Genomic DNA, 20,190 nt, shown 5'->3' on the forward strand with positions numbered 1-20,190 from the left:
TTGGCCGCCAATACTGGTACAAGATCCAGTCTAATATAGTGGCACATGGCTTTCGATTCTGTTATTAGCCAGTGTCCTTTTCTGGAGGAAATATATCATTATATCATTGTTCTTTTGATTCAGAGTTCAAGCATTCCCAGGCTGGGCTTTCTACCACTGGCAAGATGTGGGTTTGGCTTGTTGGTGGTGAAGCTAACTTACATTACACCGGCTCAATTAGTTGCACCGCTGCTTTCTGTTGAAAGGTGTTGGACATCGAAGAGAACAGAGGGGCAGTTCTTCATCCTGCCCTATTTGACCCTGCTCGTTCCTCAGCTGCTGAGGCAGCACATATATTTGGTGGACTGATAAGGAATGGGAAACACATGATATTGACAACATTTTTCTGTTCTCCAAAGCAAAAATCCTTCCAGATTAGCACCTCACTTCCAAATGATCCATGTTGGGAGGAGTCTGAAAGAGAATTAGTGAAGAAAGTGAAATCGAAATAAGTAAATATGTTATGCATTTGGGATTAAAGGCCAGACAGGACACCTAAAACCAGCATGTAACTAACTAACCACAATTATCAAATGCCTGGCATGGTCAATGAACAGAACGTGATCCTGTGCTTGAAGAGCATTTAGACACATGCAGACCTACTGCTGAAGCAGTGGGGTATGAGCCATAGGAGCCTGCCTCTTTTATGTCTGAAATGACCCTAGACATTTTCAGTGGTGATGGCAGTAAAAACATATACTAGCCCCTTGGGAATTTTTATAAAATGAACATTCCAATCTAGGAGAATAATTTTTCTACAATTAGAAAGAACAAATCAAGTTACGGCCTTTTTGAGTGCTTGGTTTTTAATATTTCCTCAGGAGACCAGACTTATTTTTATTTTTTCCGTGGAAATTCCAGTCATAACTAAACAAAAAGTGAAAATTGTGCACATGAGGTGATGTGTCCTTTAAATCCAAATCTCTGGGCAGTGTGGAATTATAACTTCTGTGGGCTCTAGGCACTTTGATTTTTTGGGTTCTGGTATGGTTTGGCTTTATGTCCCCACTCAAATCTCATCTCAAATTGTAATCCCCAGGTGTTGAGGGAGAGACCTGGTAAGAGGTGATTGAATCATGGAGGTGGTTTCCCCCATGCTGTTCTCATGATAGTGAGTGAGTTCTCACGAGATCTGAGGTTGTTTTAAAGGGCTCTTCCCCCTTCACTCTCTCTTGCCTGCTGCCATGTAAGACATGCCTACTTCCCCTTCCACCGTGATTGTAAGTTTCCTGAGGCCTCCTGGCCATGTGGAACTGTGAGTCAATTAAACCTCCTTTGTTTATAAATTACCCACTCTTGGGTAGTATCTTTACAGCAGTGTGAAAACAAATTAATACAGGCCCCTTCCTCCATAAAAATTAAAAATAAATATATTTTATGATTATGTTAGTATGAAGACATAATCCAGGCTGAGTTATATTCATTTTTTATTCTGATTTTTTTCTCGTGGGCCAGTTAAAATATTATGGGCCCTTGGCACTGTGTGTGCTATGCCTAATGGATAAGTCCACCCTGTCCTTAGAGATTGGGTCTGACCAACAGCATTTTAAAAGCTCCACCTGGTTGAGAATCTCTGTGGTGTAAGGGTTACCTGCTACCTGCAAGGGCCTTCAGAATTATTTGTGGAAGTGTCTGCCTCTTCTGCTTTTTCCAACTCTAGTTTTCATAAGCTTCTCACTCTCCATATGAAATATACAGATGATTCAGGGACATGGCAGAATGGGTATACTATTAAGGTTGCCAGATTCAGCAAATAAAAATGCAGGCTACCCAGTGGAATTTGAATTTCAGGCATACTTATAGGTGGGGCAAACTTATACTAGAAAGTACTTGCTGTTTATCTGAAATTCAAACTTAACGGGGCATCCTGTATTTCACCTGGCAACTCTACATGCTTCCTTTATTCTTGGAACCCAAAGTCTTTCTTCCTCATAAAATACACTTTATGATGAATATGCTAGGCACTAATCAAGTGTTTCTTAAAGAATGCTCTGTAGACTATTAGGAATCACATTTTAGAAAAAGAGTCGTGTGATTAAAAATGTGGATGTTTTTTCTTCTTTTTTGAGACAGAGTCTCGCACTGTCACCCAGGCTGGAGTACAGTGGCATGATCTTGGCTCACTGTAGCCTCTGCCTCCTGGTTTCAAGTGATTGTACTGCCTCAGCCTCCTGAGTAGCTAGGACTACAGGCCTGCGCCACCACACCTGGCCAATTTTTGTATTTTTAGTAGAGACGAGGTTTCACCATGTTGGCCAGGATAGTCTCCATCTCCTGACCTCGTGATCTGCCCGCCTCAGCCTCCCAAAGTGCTGGGATTACTGGGGCAAGCCAACATGCCCGGCCATGTATTTTCTTTAATGCAGGTTCTCTTGGATTCTCCCATTTGCCAATGCACATCAGGAGATCCAAGAGCAGGATATGATAGAAGTGGGTCCCCAATTTATTTGACCACTGAGTGGTTTCCTTTCTTTCCGAAGTTTCTCACAGGACTGAAATTTTTGACAGAACACACTTCCTATTCTGCCAGTGGTCCATCTGTCTTTATTTGTGATGAGTTCAATGAGTATTTTGAACTGCCTTACTGATTTACTTTACTTTCCTCTCCTCTTTTGTGCTGAGTGGCTTCTAAGGTGGTTCATACACAGCAGGTTGAATCCAGATTTCTTTTTTATCTGAGAGTATTTTACAGTCTCCCTTTGTAACTAGAGTAGGTTTAGTTAGAACTGGAGTTTACAGTGTGGGGTCTTTATTTTACCTTCTCGTTGAATGAAGGGCATCCAGAACTGGTGTATAGGGCCAGTATGTAATTTTGGGGGCCCAAAACAAAAATATGGGGCCCCTTGTTCAAAAATGATTAAGAATTTCAAGATGGAAACAGCAGAGCATTAAACAAAATGTGGGCCCTGGTTCAAAGGCACAGGTCACAGCCAGGCCCTGTTCAAAGGCACAGGTCACAGTCACGCCCTGTTCAAAGGCACAGGTCACAGCCTGCGAAGCCAGCCCACTGCATTGCCATCTTCGGTGCCAAGAAGCTGAGAGAGCCCTTGCCCAGAATACCCCAAGAAGAGTTTTCAGAGGCTAATCACCAGCACTATCTTCATATACCAAGAGTTTGTAAGAGGAAGCAAGGGCATGAGACTGGGCCCCAGGGAACAAAGACACTTTTGATATTTTGTTCATTGTGAATTTTTGTATTAAAAACATTGTATTAAATATTTATTTTGATTTTGGTGCTTTTTTCTGCTTGGGATGCCATAACTAAACATCACAGACTGGATGACTCAAACAACAAAAATTTACTTCTCAAAGTTCTGGAGGCTGGGAAGTCCAAGTTCAAGGTGCCATTCAGTTAGGTTTCTGAGGAGAGCTCTCTTCCTGGCTTTCAGATGGTTGGCTCCCTCCTTCTTGCTGCCCAATCTCACATGGCCTTGACTCTGAGCATGTGTAGGGAGAGGGGGAAAGAGAGGAAGATATTCTACTTCTTCTTATAAGGCCACTAAGAAGGCCCCATTCCACAAGTGCCTTACCCTTACGACCAAATCTGACCCTTATTACCTCCCCAAAACTCCCAAAAATCTCCAAATACCATCACATTGTGGGGTCAAGCTTCAATATATGAACTGGGGGCAGGACACAAACAGTCTGTTTATAACAGATGCCCCTATGTGCCAGGGTGGGTGACACACTCACTTCATCTTTGTCTTAGCCCAGTGGAAGATAATAAAAAAGTTATGTTCTATCATTATTTACTCTAAAAAATATGTTTAAAAGGGAAACATTTCCTTCATTTATGTTTTACAACTCACCCAGAGAAAAGCTAGTGCAAAATCTGGAACCATTCTTGAAGACTTCACATAGAAGTGAAAAAAGTAAGACTAATCGATTATTCTCTCATTAGAATGACACTTGTTTTTCATGAGTGTTTGTTTCAAAGAAAAATTCCAAAAAAAAAAAAAAAAAGTGGCGGCCTAACATATTTTATCTGCTAATTTATCTTCTGGGTGTCTTCTCCTTTCTTAATATTAATAAACAGTTATCTGATTAATTATAACTTCTGAGTGATGTAAAAGAGGCTGGTCTTATTGAACAAATCACAGCTTCAATTTTTTTCTTGTTTTTAGACTACTGTTGGTTTATTGCTTTGAATTTTGCTTACTTGTGGTGGCTGTTTCTGCACGCCAAGGGTCCATTTCTTCCTATTTGGAGGAAAATGCTCTTTTCTTTAGCAGGTGAGCCCTCTTGTACTTTTAGCCCACATGCCTTCTGTGGGGCTAAGTCCCTTGCTAATAGGTTAGACACAGGGCCCAGCCTTGGCCAGTCAACAAATTCCATCCTCTGGATGAAGCCATTGGTTGGGAATCAGCCTGGATCCCTAGTGAGCCCCACGAAAGTTGGCCCCAGGCTTTTGATGGCACTACTGGGAAAGGGGCCTCCTTTTCTCTGAGGTTGCTGAGCAGGAAGGACATCAGCCTGGAGCTGCAGGTGGCATCTCGGCCACTCCTGAAGGTGGGCTTACTGAGAAGAATGTACGGAGGGTCCTGATGGCATTCCTGAGCATCAGGATCAAGCCATGGTTGAAGCAAGGTCTATGTCAGACTTTTAGTTGTAGGAGAAATAAAATCACTTAAAAAAATTCTGGTTTGAGTTTCGTCATTTACTACTAAGAAGTACTGACACAATATGTTAGCAATTTCAGAACTGGAGATGAGCAATGATTGCATTGCAAAAGTGGCCTCTCTCATTAATACCCGAGTCAGTCTGAAGGTGCGTTCACCAAGACCTTGCCCCAGACTCTGTTAAATGTCCCCTAGAAACACGTGATTGCTACACTTGTGATGAGGAGTTGTAGCTACTTGCTTATCGGTATCTCTCCTGGACTGTGACAAGCCCTTTAGGAGGCTTTTTTAGGGGGCAGGGACACGATGAGGGAAGGTATTCATTTTAGTGCTTACTAGAAGTATCTGTGCCTTTTAGAAATTTGTATCCTTTTGCCTGGCATGTACCTCCATCTGTGTGTGTCAGGGGCCAACTATGCAACTAGGAGTTCTCTGAATTTACTTCCCTTTAGAACAATATATTAAAACTCAACAGCAACAGCAAAATCAATTCTTTTTTTTTTTTTTTGAGACAAGGTCTCACTCGGTCACCCAGGCTGGAGTACAATGGCAGGCATGATCATAGCTCACTGCAGCCTTGAACTCCTGGGCTTAAGCAAACCTCCCACCTCAGCCTCCCAAAGTCCTGGATTATAGGTGTGAGCCACCACACCCAGCTGGAATCAATTCTTTGGAACAGAGGTGGATTAACTTTTTCTGTTGAAGGCCACATAGTAAATATTTAAAGGTTTCGTAGGTGGTAAGGTCTCTTCTGCCGTTGCAATGTGAAAGGAGCCATAGACAATATAGACACAAATGAGACTGGCTGTATTCCAATAAAACTTTATAGACTGTAAAATTTGAATTTCATACAGTTTTTACATCACAAAATACTGTTCTTCTTTTTATTTTTTTCAACCATTAAAAAAGATAAAACCATTCTTAGTTGTCGGCCTATAGAAAAACAGGTGGTGAACTGAATTTTGTCTATGGGCAGTAATTTGCATACCCTGGTTTAGAATTTAGACCAGCACCTTCAAATGGAAATGTAATTTAAAATTTTCTGTTATCTATAGTTAAAAGAAACACAAAAAGGTAAAACTGATTTTAATAATGTGTTTGGCTGACTACTCCAATGCAACCAAACTATCATCATTTCAACATATATTCAATATAAAAATTTATTACAGTATTTTACATTCTTTATTTTTTGTTCCAAGTCTTCCGAATATGGTATATATTTTACATTATAGCACATTTCCATTTGTATGACAAATTTTCATCTGAAATACTTGATTTGTTTTCAGATTTCACAAAATTTATGGTTGAAAAATAGATTAACATACACAAGGTGTTAGAAAACATTCTGAAAGTTTTCCAGTTGTTCAATCAAGTATCGGTTTTTAAATGTAAGTTAATTAAAATGAAATAAAATTTAAAATTCAGTTTCTCAATAACTCTAACCATATTTTAAGTGTTCAATAGCAACTATATTGGACAGCACAGACTTAGATCAACAAAAAGTTTTCGTTGTTGTTGTTTTTTTTTGTTTTTTGTTTGCCAGGAGGAATATTTGATCACTGTCTTCATTTAGAATTGCTAGAAAACAGTGATTATAAAAAGCAGGTAGACTATATCCACCAAGTTGCCAGAGCACAGAGTTCTTTTGAAATCCACTTAAAATGCTTTGAAATCCTCTCTAGACAATGCAGATCCCCACCTTGGTTCAGCCCTGGAAACCCTCTTGCCTGGAGTGCAGTAACCAAGTTACAGAGGAATATGACACATTGCCAAAGAGGTATCAAGTTGAAGATCCTATAGGGCGTGGTCAGCAACAGTGAGGATCTCAAACTTTCTCCCAAGTGGGTGGCCAGTCACTGGAGGACTTTCAGCCGGCTCACCGTGGCTGCTGCTCTATGGGGAATAGGCTTACCAGAGATGAAACAAAGTTGAGGGCAGTCGTGAAGTTATTGCAGGTGGACCATGATGGTGCCTGCAGGGCCACGATGGAGATGAAGCAAGTGAGGCACCTGGGGTCCTAGATTTAGGGAGGCACTCACCCCTAGGATCATGCAAGTGCTGCTGTACAATCCTGCCAGTGAGCACCTCATTAAATTTTGGCCCTGGCGGCTTGGACAAGAAGGCTTCCAAATAAAAAGTGAGAGAAGTAGCCAGAATTGGGATATATTTTGAAGGAAGAACCCACAGGTTGTACTGACGGATTGGATATGGGATGTGAGAGCAGAAGAGAGAAGCCGGGATGATACCACATTTCTGGTTTTCTGTAAACCCAGCTGGCCCCTAGTGTAGCCCGCTTTGCTCTTTCTGATCCATTGCCAAGTTACCAGCGCACAGAGTTCTTTTGAAAGTAGGAGATCTTCAATTAAACACATTTTGAAATTGCAGAGAGATTTAGTTATGCAGCTCCAAGCTGCTTCATTGTAACAAAGGTCACACTGTACATAAAGCTGGATGGCTTATGGTTCCAGTTCACTGTGAACGAACACAGGGATGGCTTGTCCTTTAATGCCACTTATCAGAAGTCTCAGCAGGCCTAGGGACCATAGGGTGGCATTGCAGCATTAACTTGTTTTTGCCTTTCTGGAATGCAAAAGCTGCTGTGACCCTTCACCCCATGAAAGCAGGGCATCAGCCCGTTCCCTCGGCTCTTCCTGGAGGCTGCACTTGCTCTCCAAACAGCTGCTCCTCTAGGTCTGCAATGGAAATCCAGGCTTGCTCTTACCCCCCTTCCTCCAGTCATCTCTACCCCTTTCCACCCTTCTTAAATTCCATTTTACAACACACAAAGCAAGATAGCCTTTGTTAAAAAGTTTAATGTTCTTAATTAGTTGAATCGGTTGGGCTAATTAGAATACCAATTAGAACTGGCAGGGCTATCGTTAATTTGAAAGTGCTGTGGTCTAGTGTTAATCGCTATTAAACCTTAGAGTTTGTGAAAGATAGAGAGGATGAATTCACAAAATACTATTTTAAATGTTAAAGGTCTGTGGTCAGAAGGATCCTGCCTGACAGTGAGTATTCTAGGGACGCATAAACCACAGAGATGGTGCAGTTGTCGAAGACTTGGGTGCTGCAAGGGGCATAAGTGCCTCCGTTTTCAAAAAATGTTAAAAAGTCTGAAATGTGTTTTGCTAAAATAGCCCACCAAATAGACTAATGATCTGGAATGATTCTAAAAAAAAAAAAAAAAAAAAAAAAAAAAGGCCAGGTGTGATGGCTCACACCTGTAATCCCAGCACTTTGGGAGGCTGAGGTGGGTGATGTGGGTGGATCACGAGGTCAGGAGATCGAGACCAGTCTGGCCAACATGGTGAAACCCCGTCTCTACTAAAAGTACAAAAATTAGCCAGGTGTGGTGGCGATTGCCTGTAATCTCAGCCACTCGGGAGGCTGAGGCAGGAGAATCACTTGAACCCAGGAGGTGGAGGTTGCAGTGAGCCAAGATCACGCCATTGCACTCCAGCCTAGGTGACAAGAGCAAAACTCCGTCTCAAAAAAAAAAAAAAAAAGTGTTTAAGTTACCAGGGTGCAAAAAAATTTCTGCTGTTTCCAGAGCTGTGTGTCACCTTTGACTTATTACTTCCCAAGTATAAGGAGCAATCCACACAACTAAACCTCTTTTATTTCTGGCCACTGTCTGAATAAGAAATTAGAAACAACAACGAAGTCTTTGCACCAAATCTTCATATTGGGGCTTGCAGGTGTGAAAGTCTTTATATTTTCATGTCTCATTTGGAGATGATTAAATGGATAAACAAGTCCTAATTTGTTTTCAGAGGAATATAAAAATCCTTCTTCATTTCCTCAACAAGCAAATATGGAATGGACAATTACAACTATTCTTACCGTGCATCCTCTGAGTTCTGACTTTATTTTTCCTCTATTCCAGTGATAAAGACAGAAGGTATTACCATCTACTATCCTTGCTGGTATCTTCTCAGTATATCTGATAATTTTCCAGAAAATAAACCATGCAGTTTATAGAAAACAAATATAAACATATATTTCATCATATGTATTATGGCATAGTTAGAAAATAAGAAATCTATCTTTTTAGATGGTGAATTGCTTTACAAAGGATATAAAAATGTTCAGTTCAATTGCTACCTTAGATCTTCTTGGAGGTAAATTTAAAACAGACAGACAGAGCAACAAATACATAAATGACTCAGCGATTACCAGTGTAGTATGATGTGTGGACAAAAACTTGCAGGAAGGAAAAAGGGTTTATAACCCAGAATCTTCCCCAAGTGTGTGTGTGTGTGTGTGTGTGTGTGTGTGTGTGTGTGTGTGTGTTTTGGGGGGGGGTGTGTTTTAACGAAACGTGGTGACATTAATATCAAGGATACTAGATTGAAGTAACATTTCAGTGAAGTTCCAGGTAGTCTTATCAAAATTGATTTTACCTTAATCAAATGCTACTGCATTGTAGGTGCTATGCTAGATGCGTGCCTAGGCACAGGAGAACATGATTAGGGTTCACTTAGGAAGACTGCATTAATGATAGTAGAAAAATTAAACAAAATAATATTTGATAAAGAACCAAAATAAAGACTTGTGTCCTTTGAATGTGGGTTCCAGTATCACATTAAGCATTGTGCCTTCCCACTAATTTTTTTTACCTTGGTTTTTAATCCTGCTCACCAGTTCCAATTCTTTCAGGGCTGTTAGTTAAATGAAAGCTTTAAGTTATGGTTAAAAATTACATTCAGGCAGGCCGGGCGCGGTGGCTCACGCCTGTAATCCCAGCACTTTGGGAGACTGAGTCGGGCGGATCACGAGGTCAGGATATCGAGACCATCCTGGCTAACACGGTGAAACCCCATCTCTACTAAAAATACAAAAAAAAAAAAAAAAAAAAAAAAAAATTAGCGCCTGTAGTCACAGCTACCCTGGAGGCTGAGGCAGGAGAATGGCGTGAACCTGGTAGGCGGAGGTTGCAGTGAGCGGAGATTGCGCCACTGCACTCCAGCCCGGGAGACAGAGCGAGACTTCCATCTCAAAAAAAATTTGTGAATAATAAGTGTTTCTCGTAAAATGATAAGGAATTAAAATTTTAACATTGATTGAGCAATTGTTAAACACCAGGAACTCTTCTTATGCAAAGCACTGAGAGAGGAAAAAATCCAAAACAAATGAACTCTATGGTTCCCTAATCCTAACCCTAAACCTAATCCCAAGTAAGAGTTCAAACTGGGGACTACACTGATCCACTGGTCATTTTAGTTTTCTCTCATTTTACTCAACTCATTTTGAGTTACACATTTCCTCGTGTGTGTTTTGTAGTTGCTTTTTTTTTCTTGTAGGCAACTCCCTAGATGAATTTATTCTCTAATCAAACCATAAATCCCTTTTTTAATTCATTCATGCAGTAATTCAACAAGCATTATTTATCATCTACTATGTACCAGGTAGTGTGCTAGGCTATGGGATACAAAGATGCAAATATAAGATAGCTATGTCCAAAAAGTTTTCAGTCTAAGAAGTGAAGTAAAAATCTCCAGAAATGGCTGTAAGACTTCCTGGCAAGCAGTGTGTCAGGGTCAAGAACAAGGTGCCTGGGAGGTCAAAGGATGGAGGAAGGAACTTGCTCTGTGGTCAGTAAGAGAGGTGAGGTCAGGGTGAAGTTTGAAGGACAGGTAGGACAACTATGGGATGGTACCTCTTGGAATATACAGTGCAGAGTCCCTAGCTTAGGGTTTAGTGCGATGCGAGGCGTTTCATGTCATTTGGACCTGGGCAATATAATGCAAAGGAAGAGATGCCACAACTCCGAAGTTGTTAAGAGAAGGGCGTGTTTATGTTCTTTCTAAAATCTCTCCAGATCCTGAAGAAATGAAGTGATCCACAACATATCTAATTTCATACTTTAGAGAGTTATTTTATAAATTAACAAACTTCAGTGGTAATTTTTCATCTGCAAAGAATCTATTGCATTGAGTCAATATGACATATTTTCGAAATTTTCTTTTGGCATCTATAAAGGGTATATAAACATCAAGGAAAGTAATACAATTAATTTCATTTTTAGAAAGAATGTTAAGAGAACAAATGATAATAATTTTATTTCTCTTTGGAACTGACTTTAGACTAAACATATTCCTTATTACTAAAGAAAGCATTCATACTAAGTCAGACTCTCTCCTAATTTGATGTGAATTCTTAACTTGAAAATAGATCCAGTGAAGTCAAATCAAGAAACCATTTCTCATTTTCCCCCAACCTCCTTGAACATTTTTGAGCAAATCCCTCATTTTACTATGGGTGCTGGATGTTTGTTATTTGATGTCTGTGTATCTGCATGTCTGTGTGTATATTTATAGTTTATCTGCCCTGTGTCATTCTGCAGAAAGGGATTCACTCAGTCAACTGGATATGAGAGATTTGAGCTCAGTAATCAGCTGGAGGAACAAAGAGACTGCAATCAGGAGAAGCCCCTGAAGGGAAGGTAGTCTACTCATGAGAGTCCCCTGAGGGTCCTCATCAGCACTAGAGAACTGTTTTGACAGAACCACTGAATTGGGTGCAGGAGTCAAATTCCTGGGACATCAAACCAGGACAGATTTTCTGCTCGTCCACAAACAACAGAGACCCCTCTGCCTTTAGGGAATAGGAGGAGCCTGCTCTCAGGGGTGCAATGGCTTCCAGGGTTGGTTGGAATAACTTGCTGTAGGCAAAAGGGCAAGGAACATTGAGTAGCAGAAATGGAAGCAAATAATTTATTATTTTTTTTAAATTGCAAACCCTGATGTCTGGCCCCAGATATTTGAGCATATTCTCCATTCTTCTAACAAAAGAAACACACATGCTTATTCCACCCTTTTCCGCCTCATCTGGCAGCCGCTTTCTGGTCCAGCAGACACTAACATCTAATGAGTCAAACTTCTCATTTTCAGACTAATCAGTCGGCTGCACTAATTGCAAATGCAAATATGCAAATTTATATTAATTAATTACTCTGCTAATTAGTTCTGCGGTCTTTTTTGGGTAATAAATCATTGTGCAGTGGAAGGGAAACAAGTCCTGTCCCATTTCACTCCACATAAAAATTTAATGTACTCATGGAAGAAAGTATATTAAAAAAGAGGAAAGCATGAGCTGATCACTGTGCTTCCACTGACGAGTCCTCTACAGAAAGGTGCAATTCTGCGAGGGCTTTCACATCTTCTGCAAATGCCATCACTAAGGTGCCTGTTAGCAATTTAATTATCACATTATGAGCTTTAGAAAAAGCCAGTCTGCTGTGCTGCAGGCTGTGACGTGGAGCTCGGCAGTTCACCCACTTTGCAGCAAAACACTTATAAATAAAATGAGAATATAGAGAGGGAATCAAATTTCTTTGCTGGAACACGATAGCTTGGGAACAAATGTTTTCAGGGTTCCTTGTTGCTGTTGTTATTGTTTTAAGTTACAGTTATCATCTTGCTCTTCATGACCTTGGAGTAAAAGTTTTTATCATGTTTGGGATGCATTGAAGGGGTGTGTAATGGTAGGAGGGGGTTGGAAACAGAGAGGTGAGGAGTTGCTGGTATAAGAGGGAGGAAACAGTCTTTCACAATAGCTAGCAGTGATGCATACTCAGATTTATTTATTCCATAAATTCTTGTTGGAGACTTACTATGTTCCCAGCTGCCCACCGTGGGGGATGGTGTGACATGCATGTGATGTGTGAGAAACATTTCTCCCAATTAGACTGTGGATTTTCTGAGGATAAGATGCTAAGTCTCGTTTACTTCTGTGTTCCTAGCTCTTTGCCCAGATAGAATATTCCACAATGAATGGATGAATATATGAATGAAAGAGTGAATGGCTGCAGCCTTCAAAAATCTCGTCTAGTTATAGTGACAATAACTGATACTCGTGTCCAGTATTGCCTTTATTGTTGGGTAGGTGTCAAGATTACGAGGTGATGGCCAGACACAATGACTCAAACCTGTAATCCCAGCACTTTGGGAGGCCATGGTGGGAGGATCACTCAAGCCCAGGGGTTCGAGACCAGCCTGGGCAACACAGTGAGACCCCATTGCTATATAAAAGTTAAGAAATAGCCAGGTGTGGTGGCAACATGCCTGTAGTCCCCACTATTTGGGAGGCTGAGGTGGGATGATAGATGGAGCTCAGGAGTTAGGAGTTACAGTGAGCTATGATGGTGCCACTTCACTCCAGCCTAGGTGATAGAGGGAGAGCTTGTCCCTAAAACAAAAGAAACAAACAAAAAAGTTTAGGAGATGAGAGGAGTGAGAATGTGGTGGTTCAGATTTAAATCCTCACATGTTAAATGTCTCTTCATTTCCCTCCTTCACTTTCCTTTTCTCTAAAAGAAACGTCTACTTCACTTCCTCGTGGTCTTGCCTTACTATTGGGGCATGTGATGTTTGAGCAATAAGAGGAAACTGCTATCCTTACAGCTGGGCAACTTGCCCTCAATCTCCGGCTTGCCCCTCTCCTGGTTTTGTGATTTTGAGCAAATTATTTAACCTCCTCAAGTCAGTTTCCTTATCTGTAAAAGCAAGAGGAATGAGTGTATCAAGAATGGTGTGGTGGAGACAGGGCTCTGCAGCCAGGCAGCTCAGCACTGGTTTCTCACCCCGCAACTGCTCTCTTCATGGCTTTAGGTCTTCATTTTTTATTATTTATGAAAAAGTATTTACTTTCTAACTTTTTAAAAGATTAGAATGTAGGACACATGTACATGGTACAAAATTCAAAAAGCATATAAGGTATCCAATAAAAAGCGAGTCTCGGCCGGGTGCGGTGGCTCATGCCTGTAATTTCAGCACTTTGGGAGGCCAAGGTGGGCGGATCACGAGGTCAGAAGTTCTAGACCAGCCTGACCAACATGGTGAAACCCCATCTCTAATAAATATTTAAAAAATTAACCAGGCATGATGGTGGGTGCCTGTAATCCCAGCTACTCAGGAGGCTGAGACAGGAGAATCACTTGAACCCGGGAGGTGGAGGTTGCGGTAAGCTGAGATCGCACCACTGCACTCCAGCCTGGCGACAGAGTGAGACTCTGTCTCAAAAAAAAAAAAAAGCGAGTCTCCTTCCCTGACCCCTGCCCTCTCTGTTCTCTTCCCCAATGGCAACAACTAACTTCTTTGTAACCTTCCAGAGGTAGACACTGTATTTCTAAATAATATATATTCCCCAACACACAAATCATAGTGTACCATAATTCTATTCTGAATCTAACTTTTTTAACCTTAATGTATCAGTACATGCAGAGCTATTTTGATGCTGTTAAGCCCGCCTGTTTTCCATTGTATGAGAACATAGGAATGTATTTGTATCAGCCACCAATTGGCGGACATTTTACATTGCTTTCAATTTTCTGCTGCTATAAATAATGCTGCAGATAACGTCTCTGTACATACAACATTTTGTCCATGTGGAGGTAGACCCATAGGACAGATACCTAGAAATAAAATTGCTGGATCAAAGGATACATATATTAAATTCTGAAACATTGCAAACCTCCCCTCCATAGAGGACATACCAATTCACTCACTTACCATGACCGTGCCTCCTCCCGACACCCTTGCTTGGGCAAGTTCTCTAAATCTTGGTTCCTTAGTGTTCTTATCTACAAAGTGGGGATAATAATGCTGCAGTCCTCATAGGGAGGTTGTGAGGAATAAATGAGATCATTCATGAAGAATCCTTAGCATTGTCATGTGTTACTGTCTTCAGCATTTTCATTATTGTTCTCATTTTCACCACTGTGTATAATTATTTTGAGGGTAAAAGGAAATCACCATTGTGAAAGCACTGTGTATAGGGCTTTACAAATATTAGTCATCAATAAGAACCATTATGCTTTTCCTTCTTTGTGCATAGGAATATTCCTCAAGTGTCTTTGAAGTTTTCTGAAGTTTCAGAACTGTCCACGTATATAACACATTTAACAATAGGAACAACGATTAACTTCATTCCCCCAAATTAATCAAGTGCCCAAAGTGCAGAATAGGAAAAAGAAAGAGGCGTGGATGATGGAAAGTGAGAAGACAAACCAAGGAATTAAACTGAAGGAGACAATAAGGGCAAGAGAACCAGGGTTGGGGAAAAGGGAACATGCAGTAACCAGAGCAAATGGCCAGCTGGATTGTGGGGCACAAAAGTGAGAGGTGGAACCAAGGTCCAAGAGCAGGAGAGCTTCCAGCTGAGAAGGTGGCTGACAGGCTGAGCTAAGTACTTGGTTAGCCTAGAGTGTGCCCAAATCCTCACTCCCTCTCTGGATAATACTGCCATTGTGTGACCAGCTAGGAGGCTCCCTTCTGTTTCTTCTTTCCACTCTATGCAGGAGTTGATTCCAGGGCTCTTATTTCATCTTCTTTCTCTACTCTCCTTAAACTTTCCTTCCTGAGTCCAGTCTCCCCCAAAGTTTCAACAGCCACTGACTACTTCAAGGTAACTGGCCACTGGGTGTTTTAGCACCATGTTTGCGGTCACCTACTGAACTTTTGAAAGCCATTCTTACATGATCTGTGTTCATTTCCAGCACAACTTACCTAAAGCCAAACTCATCTCTCTGAAATGCCTTTTCTTTCTCATTATATTTCAGTGTATGCTAATAAACTGTAAGTGATATATTCCTTGGTATATACCTTGTTTGCAAAGACAGTGCTGCCAGGTCACGTGTGCTCAATAAGTGCCTGTGGATCAAAGATCAAAGAGTGTTTTCCATGCCCCTGCCCCCATCTTTCTCAGTGAAGCTTACTTCTATTTTATATTTTGATATGAACATAATTTGGAGATTATTTTCTCAAAGATAAAACAAAGTAAACATCTTTCCAGTGTTCCATGGTTTGTGCTGGATGACTAACATTTCTTCACTTGAATCCTCCAGGCTGCTGGTCTAGGAACAGCACTGGGAAGAGCCTGTGAGGACCTTCTGTGGGTTTATGTGCATGGGAGATTTCCTTTTCCTCCACTCTGCGGGGCATACGGCTGTGCTCTGCAGAGTCCAAAAGGGGGAGCTTCGCTGATTACTTCTTTAATGTGAGAGTATGAGAGAGCTGATTACCTTAGATCATAATTAGACTGATAGAAGTGAACAGTGATGCAAATTTTAAAAATACAAATGAGTATGGCTCAAACCCTGGTGAACCGAATCTTTACAATTCCATTTAAAACCCCAAAATAAATGTCATTACTAACTGTTTTGTGAAGGTGAAGTGGAAAAAAATATAAATTTGTTTCTTTAGATAATTAATTAAAAACCCTGTGCCACATGTAAGATGTTTGTATCTGAGTCATGTTTTTCTAGCAAAAATATATTTTTCAATAGATTATTTTTCCTAACCAATGTTTTAAATAGGAGAATACTGAGTTTTATGTTTGTTTTGGTCTCACATTTCCCAGCAATCATCTGTAGTTAAAGGACGATGCCAGTGAGTTGAGGTTGAATATTCCATGTCCAAAATGACCAGATGACATATCCTAAGAACTTGTCTTCTGTACATCCGCACTGTGGCCACCTCTTCTAAAAACATGTGCTACTGGATATGAGAAGAAATATATTAGGTTTTCAGGAAAAGCAGTTTAAAATTCATGCCCTTTTAAAACATATTATTTCGTATTCATGTTTTAGCATGAAGAAAAATAAAAACTCCAAACTCATCAAATATGTGCAATTTGTATATATCAATTATATCACAATAAAGCCTTATAAAAAGAAAAATAAACATTAGCCTTAATCTTACAATGCAACGATGACGACTATAAACATTTGGGCTGTACCCTTTTAAACGTTTATCCATAACTCTATCTAGAGCTCTAAGTATCTGCATACATACATACTTCTCTCTACAGACCTGTCTCTGACACCCTGGTGTTTGCATTGATGCTGCAGCTCTACCAGTTATTTAAGACTTGTTCTGATTGACTAGAGTCAGTGTTGTACAGGTGATACATACTTTGAATATCACCTGGTATCTGTTCAACAAAAGTGGTGTCAGCCTCTCCATACTGGTTTGTTGTGTGTGTGCGTATGTGTGTGGGTGCATGTGTTTGTCACTTACTGGTGTCATTGTTTCAAAATGCACATCATTTTTAAGGCTACGGAGTATTCAGTTGTGCTGATATTCTATAATTTATCCAACTAGTCCCATGTTATGGGGCATTTTGAATTGTTTTCAATTCGATTATTTGGTATTTATATATCATCCTATTTTGGTTTTAATCTTCATTTTTACTTTGTTATTTTTGTTGCTAACATCTCTTTCCACCAATGGTTTGAAAGGGCTGTAGAGTTCTTATTGTTCTCTAGTGGTCATTACAATTTTACTGAAAATATTTGAATCAGTCATTGTCTATCAGCATTAGGATTTTTTTTAACATTAGGATTTAATTCAATTCTGCTAATTTCCCCACCCCTACTTTTCCTGGCTTTTACTGTCACCTTTTATCTCCAATTGTCAGTTGATGTTTAAATAATTTGGGGCTTTCAGATTCATTTCTTGAAATAAAATTTGTATCTCTTCTTCCAAGAATAATGCTTGACATTTGCATTGTTTATAATTATGTTAGTGGTTATTTAGCTATTAACTCTGAACTTTATGGTTTTCATCGCTCATTGTCATTTCTTTCAAACAACATTTTATATACATTTAAATTCTTTATTTTGGTACCTTTGTCAATGAACTGAAATACTGAACCAGGGTATTTCCCTGACTCCCTTGCAGAACTAGCGACAGGGTTGTCTTATTTACTCAGCCCGCTGCTCTCAAGTCCTCACGGTAGGGAGCAGGTGAGCGAATGAAGCGGGAACTGGAGTGCACAAGCACTGGAATTGGCCAGCCACTTCAGTGCCAGTGGGATCAAACTCCACTCACTCAGACCTACTGCGTTCCACCCACCGTGGGAGGGAGTGCACAGGTGAGTGGATGCAGGAGCTGGAGCAAGTGCTTTTGGGTGCTGGCAGGAGCAAATTACATGCAGGCCCTGCCGCAGCGTCAAGGCAGGGTGTCTGCGACTCTGGAAGCCCCAGAGGGCATGTTACAGTGCCCTTTTAGCTCTGTCATCCGTGGACGGCTTAAGTATGAACAGTCAGTGAGCCCTCTGCCCTTTCACATGAGGCAGCTGCCCTCTGCCATTGAGGGCAAAGGGCCAGTGTAGCAGCCTTTTGTATCCACACTTGTGTCCCCTGAGCTCTTGTCCAGCATCCAGGAGAAAAGAAGTCGCACGAATAAACTGAAGGATGCTAAATGCAGGGAATTTTATTGCCAGTGAAAGTGGCTGTCAGTGGGAAGGGGAGCTGAAAAGGAGACAGGAGGTAGGTAATCTTCCCCTGGAGTCCGGCCGTTTCTGGCTGGATTCTTTTCCCGAGTTATGCCATCAAGCTGTCCCTCTGAAGTCAAGCCGCTTCTATCCAATGTCCAGCCATAGTCCCTGTCATCCAGCTGTTTCTCCTCTCTGCTGGCTGAGCCTGGGGTCTTTACAGGCACAGGATGCCGGGTGGGGCAGGCTATGTGTAATTTAGGAAAAGGCAACATTCAAGCAGGAAAACAGGGATAGAAGTTTTCACTTTAAGCAGCAGTTTCAGGCCTTTCGGTTTGAAGGTGGGGTTTTGTCAAGGACCTGCCCTTTTCTGCCTAGAACTTCTCTGCCCCCTGTTCATATTAATACTTTTGTGAGGACATTTTTCAGAAAGCATAGGTGAATGATAAACACTTTTAGCCCTTGCATGTCAGAAAAAAAAGCTTTCTCTTGTCTTCAAACACGATTTAAGTTTTTCTTCAAATTATTTTTACATATTTCTCCCAATTATTTTCTGGGTTTGAGTTTTAATCTGATTTTTTTAAAACTAGATTACCTTTAACAACAGCAACAGAAAATCACCGATGTCTGACTATGTATAGGTTGCTTTTCTTTGTCTTTCAAATACAACTACGTAAGTAGAATTTGCGTGCTATGTGCCATTCTTCACTATCTGTGTAATGGACCCATGAAACCCAGATGCACCTTGTATTTTTTTTCCTCACAGGAATCTTTCTGCTGTTATTTTTATATTAGAGAATTGCTTCCTGCATGTTTCTATTTTCTTATATTTTTCTCACCATACTTACGTTGTGTCTTGTGGATCTATCATCCATGTCATTGATCTTTCTGCATATCCTGTGTCCCATGTTTGTCCTTTTACGATGAGCTCTGGGAGAAGCTCAAAAGCTGGATTTTCAATTCATGAATTCAGTTTTCTGCACTTTCTATTCTGCTGTTTACCACTTCACTTGCATTTTTATATTTGAAAATTCTATTTTTCACCTGAAAGCATCCACTCCTGGAAGTAGATTTTTCTTTTGCAGAGAGGCAATGCTGAAATATACCAAATTTAGAGTGCAACTCCAAAAATACAGTTTTTAAGTTTCTTGCCATTAATCTATATTGTTTTGGGAAATTGACTCTGCTACTTCTTTGGGTCAAGTGAATCTTTTCACATGTCTAGTGAATTTTCACCCTTGCGGGTGGGAGCAGAGATGGATGCTTGTTTATTTTAAAGTGTTGTTATGGCATTGTTGGCAATTTTATAAATCCCTCTTCACATGTATTTTAGTTCCAGACAAAAAAGAAATGAAAGCAGCTTATCTTTTCTGTGGTTTTATTTTTGGCAGATAAAGGTTCCAGATGCTTGAGAAGAGAGAGTGGGAAATATAGCCAGAAGCGATTTTGCATTCTGGAGCAGCATTTGCCTGCCCATGGCTCTCTGTTTCACTTAGTACCTGGCCTGCCATGTGCAGCCCAGGCAGCAGCAATGACGCCATTGTCAGCTCCATTCACACTTCCTGAAGCCACTGGCAGGGTGGTTTTTTTCACCCTGCTGACAGCTGTGTCGCTCACTCCTGCCTAGAGGCCCTAGCTACTCCAGATTAGAGGTGGGAGACAGACCCCCAGGCCATCATGATCCCTATTAGTGTCATTTATAGTTGCTCCAGGTTGGCTTTGTGCCCCACCTGGCCAAGTACATGCTAAGAGCGAAGAGTGTAGACTACAAGCTACACTATTTCATGGCATCATTCAGAAAATTGAGATTTGTTCCTATGGCCGCCCCCCCTTGGCCCCAGCCCCAATGCTTGTCAGTCTGGGGTATTCATGGGGTTCTGCTGGTGGTTTGCCTTCTTCACAGGAAAATATATTTTTTCCTGCCGAAAATTTCAGCCTGGGCATTCAATTCCTCAGTCTGGTGGTCGGCACTATGTCTGTAAAATATTCTATAACATTTCTCGGCTTTAGTGAACAGATTATCACCCATTTTTATTTTCGTAGGAATCGGCATAGTTGGGACACTTAACTGAAATGATTGGACCACACTGTGAAGGACATAAAGAGCTATGAAAAATCCCAGCTTTGTTGCTCTACAGAACACAGAAATATCTGAATGAACAAATTCAGTAAGCCACCCTGATATGTTGTCTCTGCAACATGATCCATTCACCTATATATAGATATTTAGGTTTCTCATTTTCTTCTTGATGTTTGATATCATAAAAATATAGACAACATCCATGGATCCTGATGATCAAAAATGTTTTTC

At 40.7% G+C, this 20,190-nt stretch overlaps 1 annotated feature.

The window, feature by feature from the left end:
* Positions 10,920-12,022: an enhancer, noted in NCBI's record as "VISTA enhancer hs297". NCBI's record gives its function as "enhancer in: melanocytes[4/5]" and the evidence as "EXISTENCE:transgenic organism evidence [ECO:0001131][PMID:17130149]".

The sequence above is a fragment of the Homo sapiens genome, chromosome 7 (genome assembly GCF_000001405.40).
Source record: "Homo sapiens chromosome 7, GRCh38.p14 Primary Assembly".
Classification (NCBI taxonomy): Eukaryota; Metazoa; Chordata; class Mammalia; order Primates; family Hominidae; genus Homo; species Homo sapiens.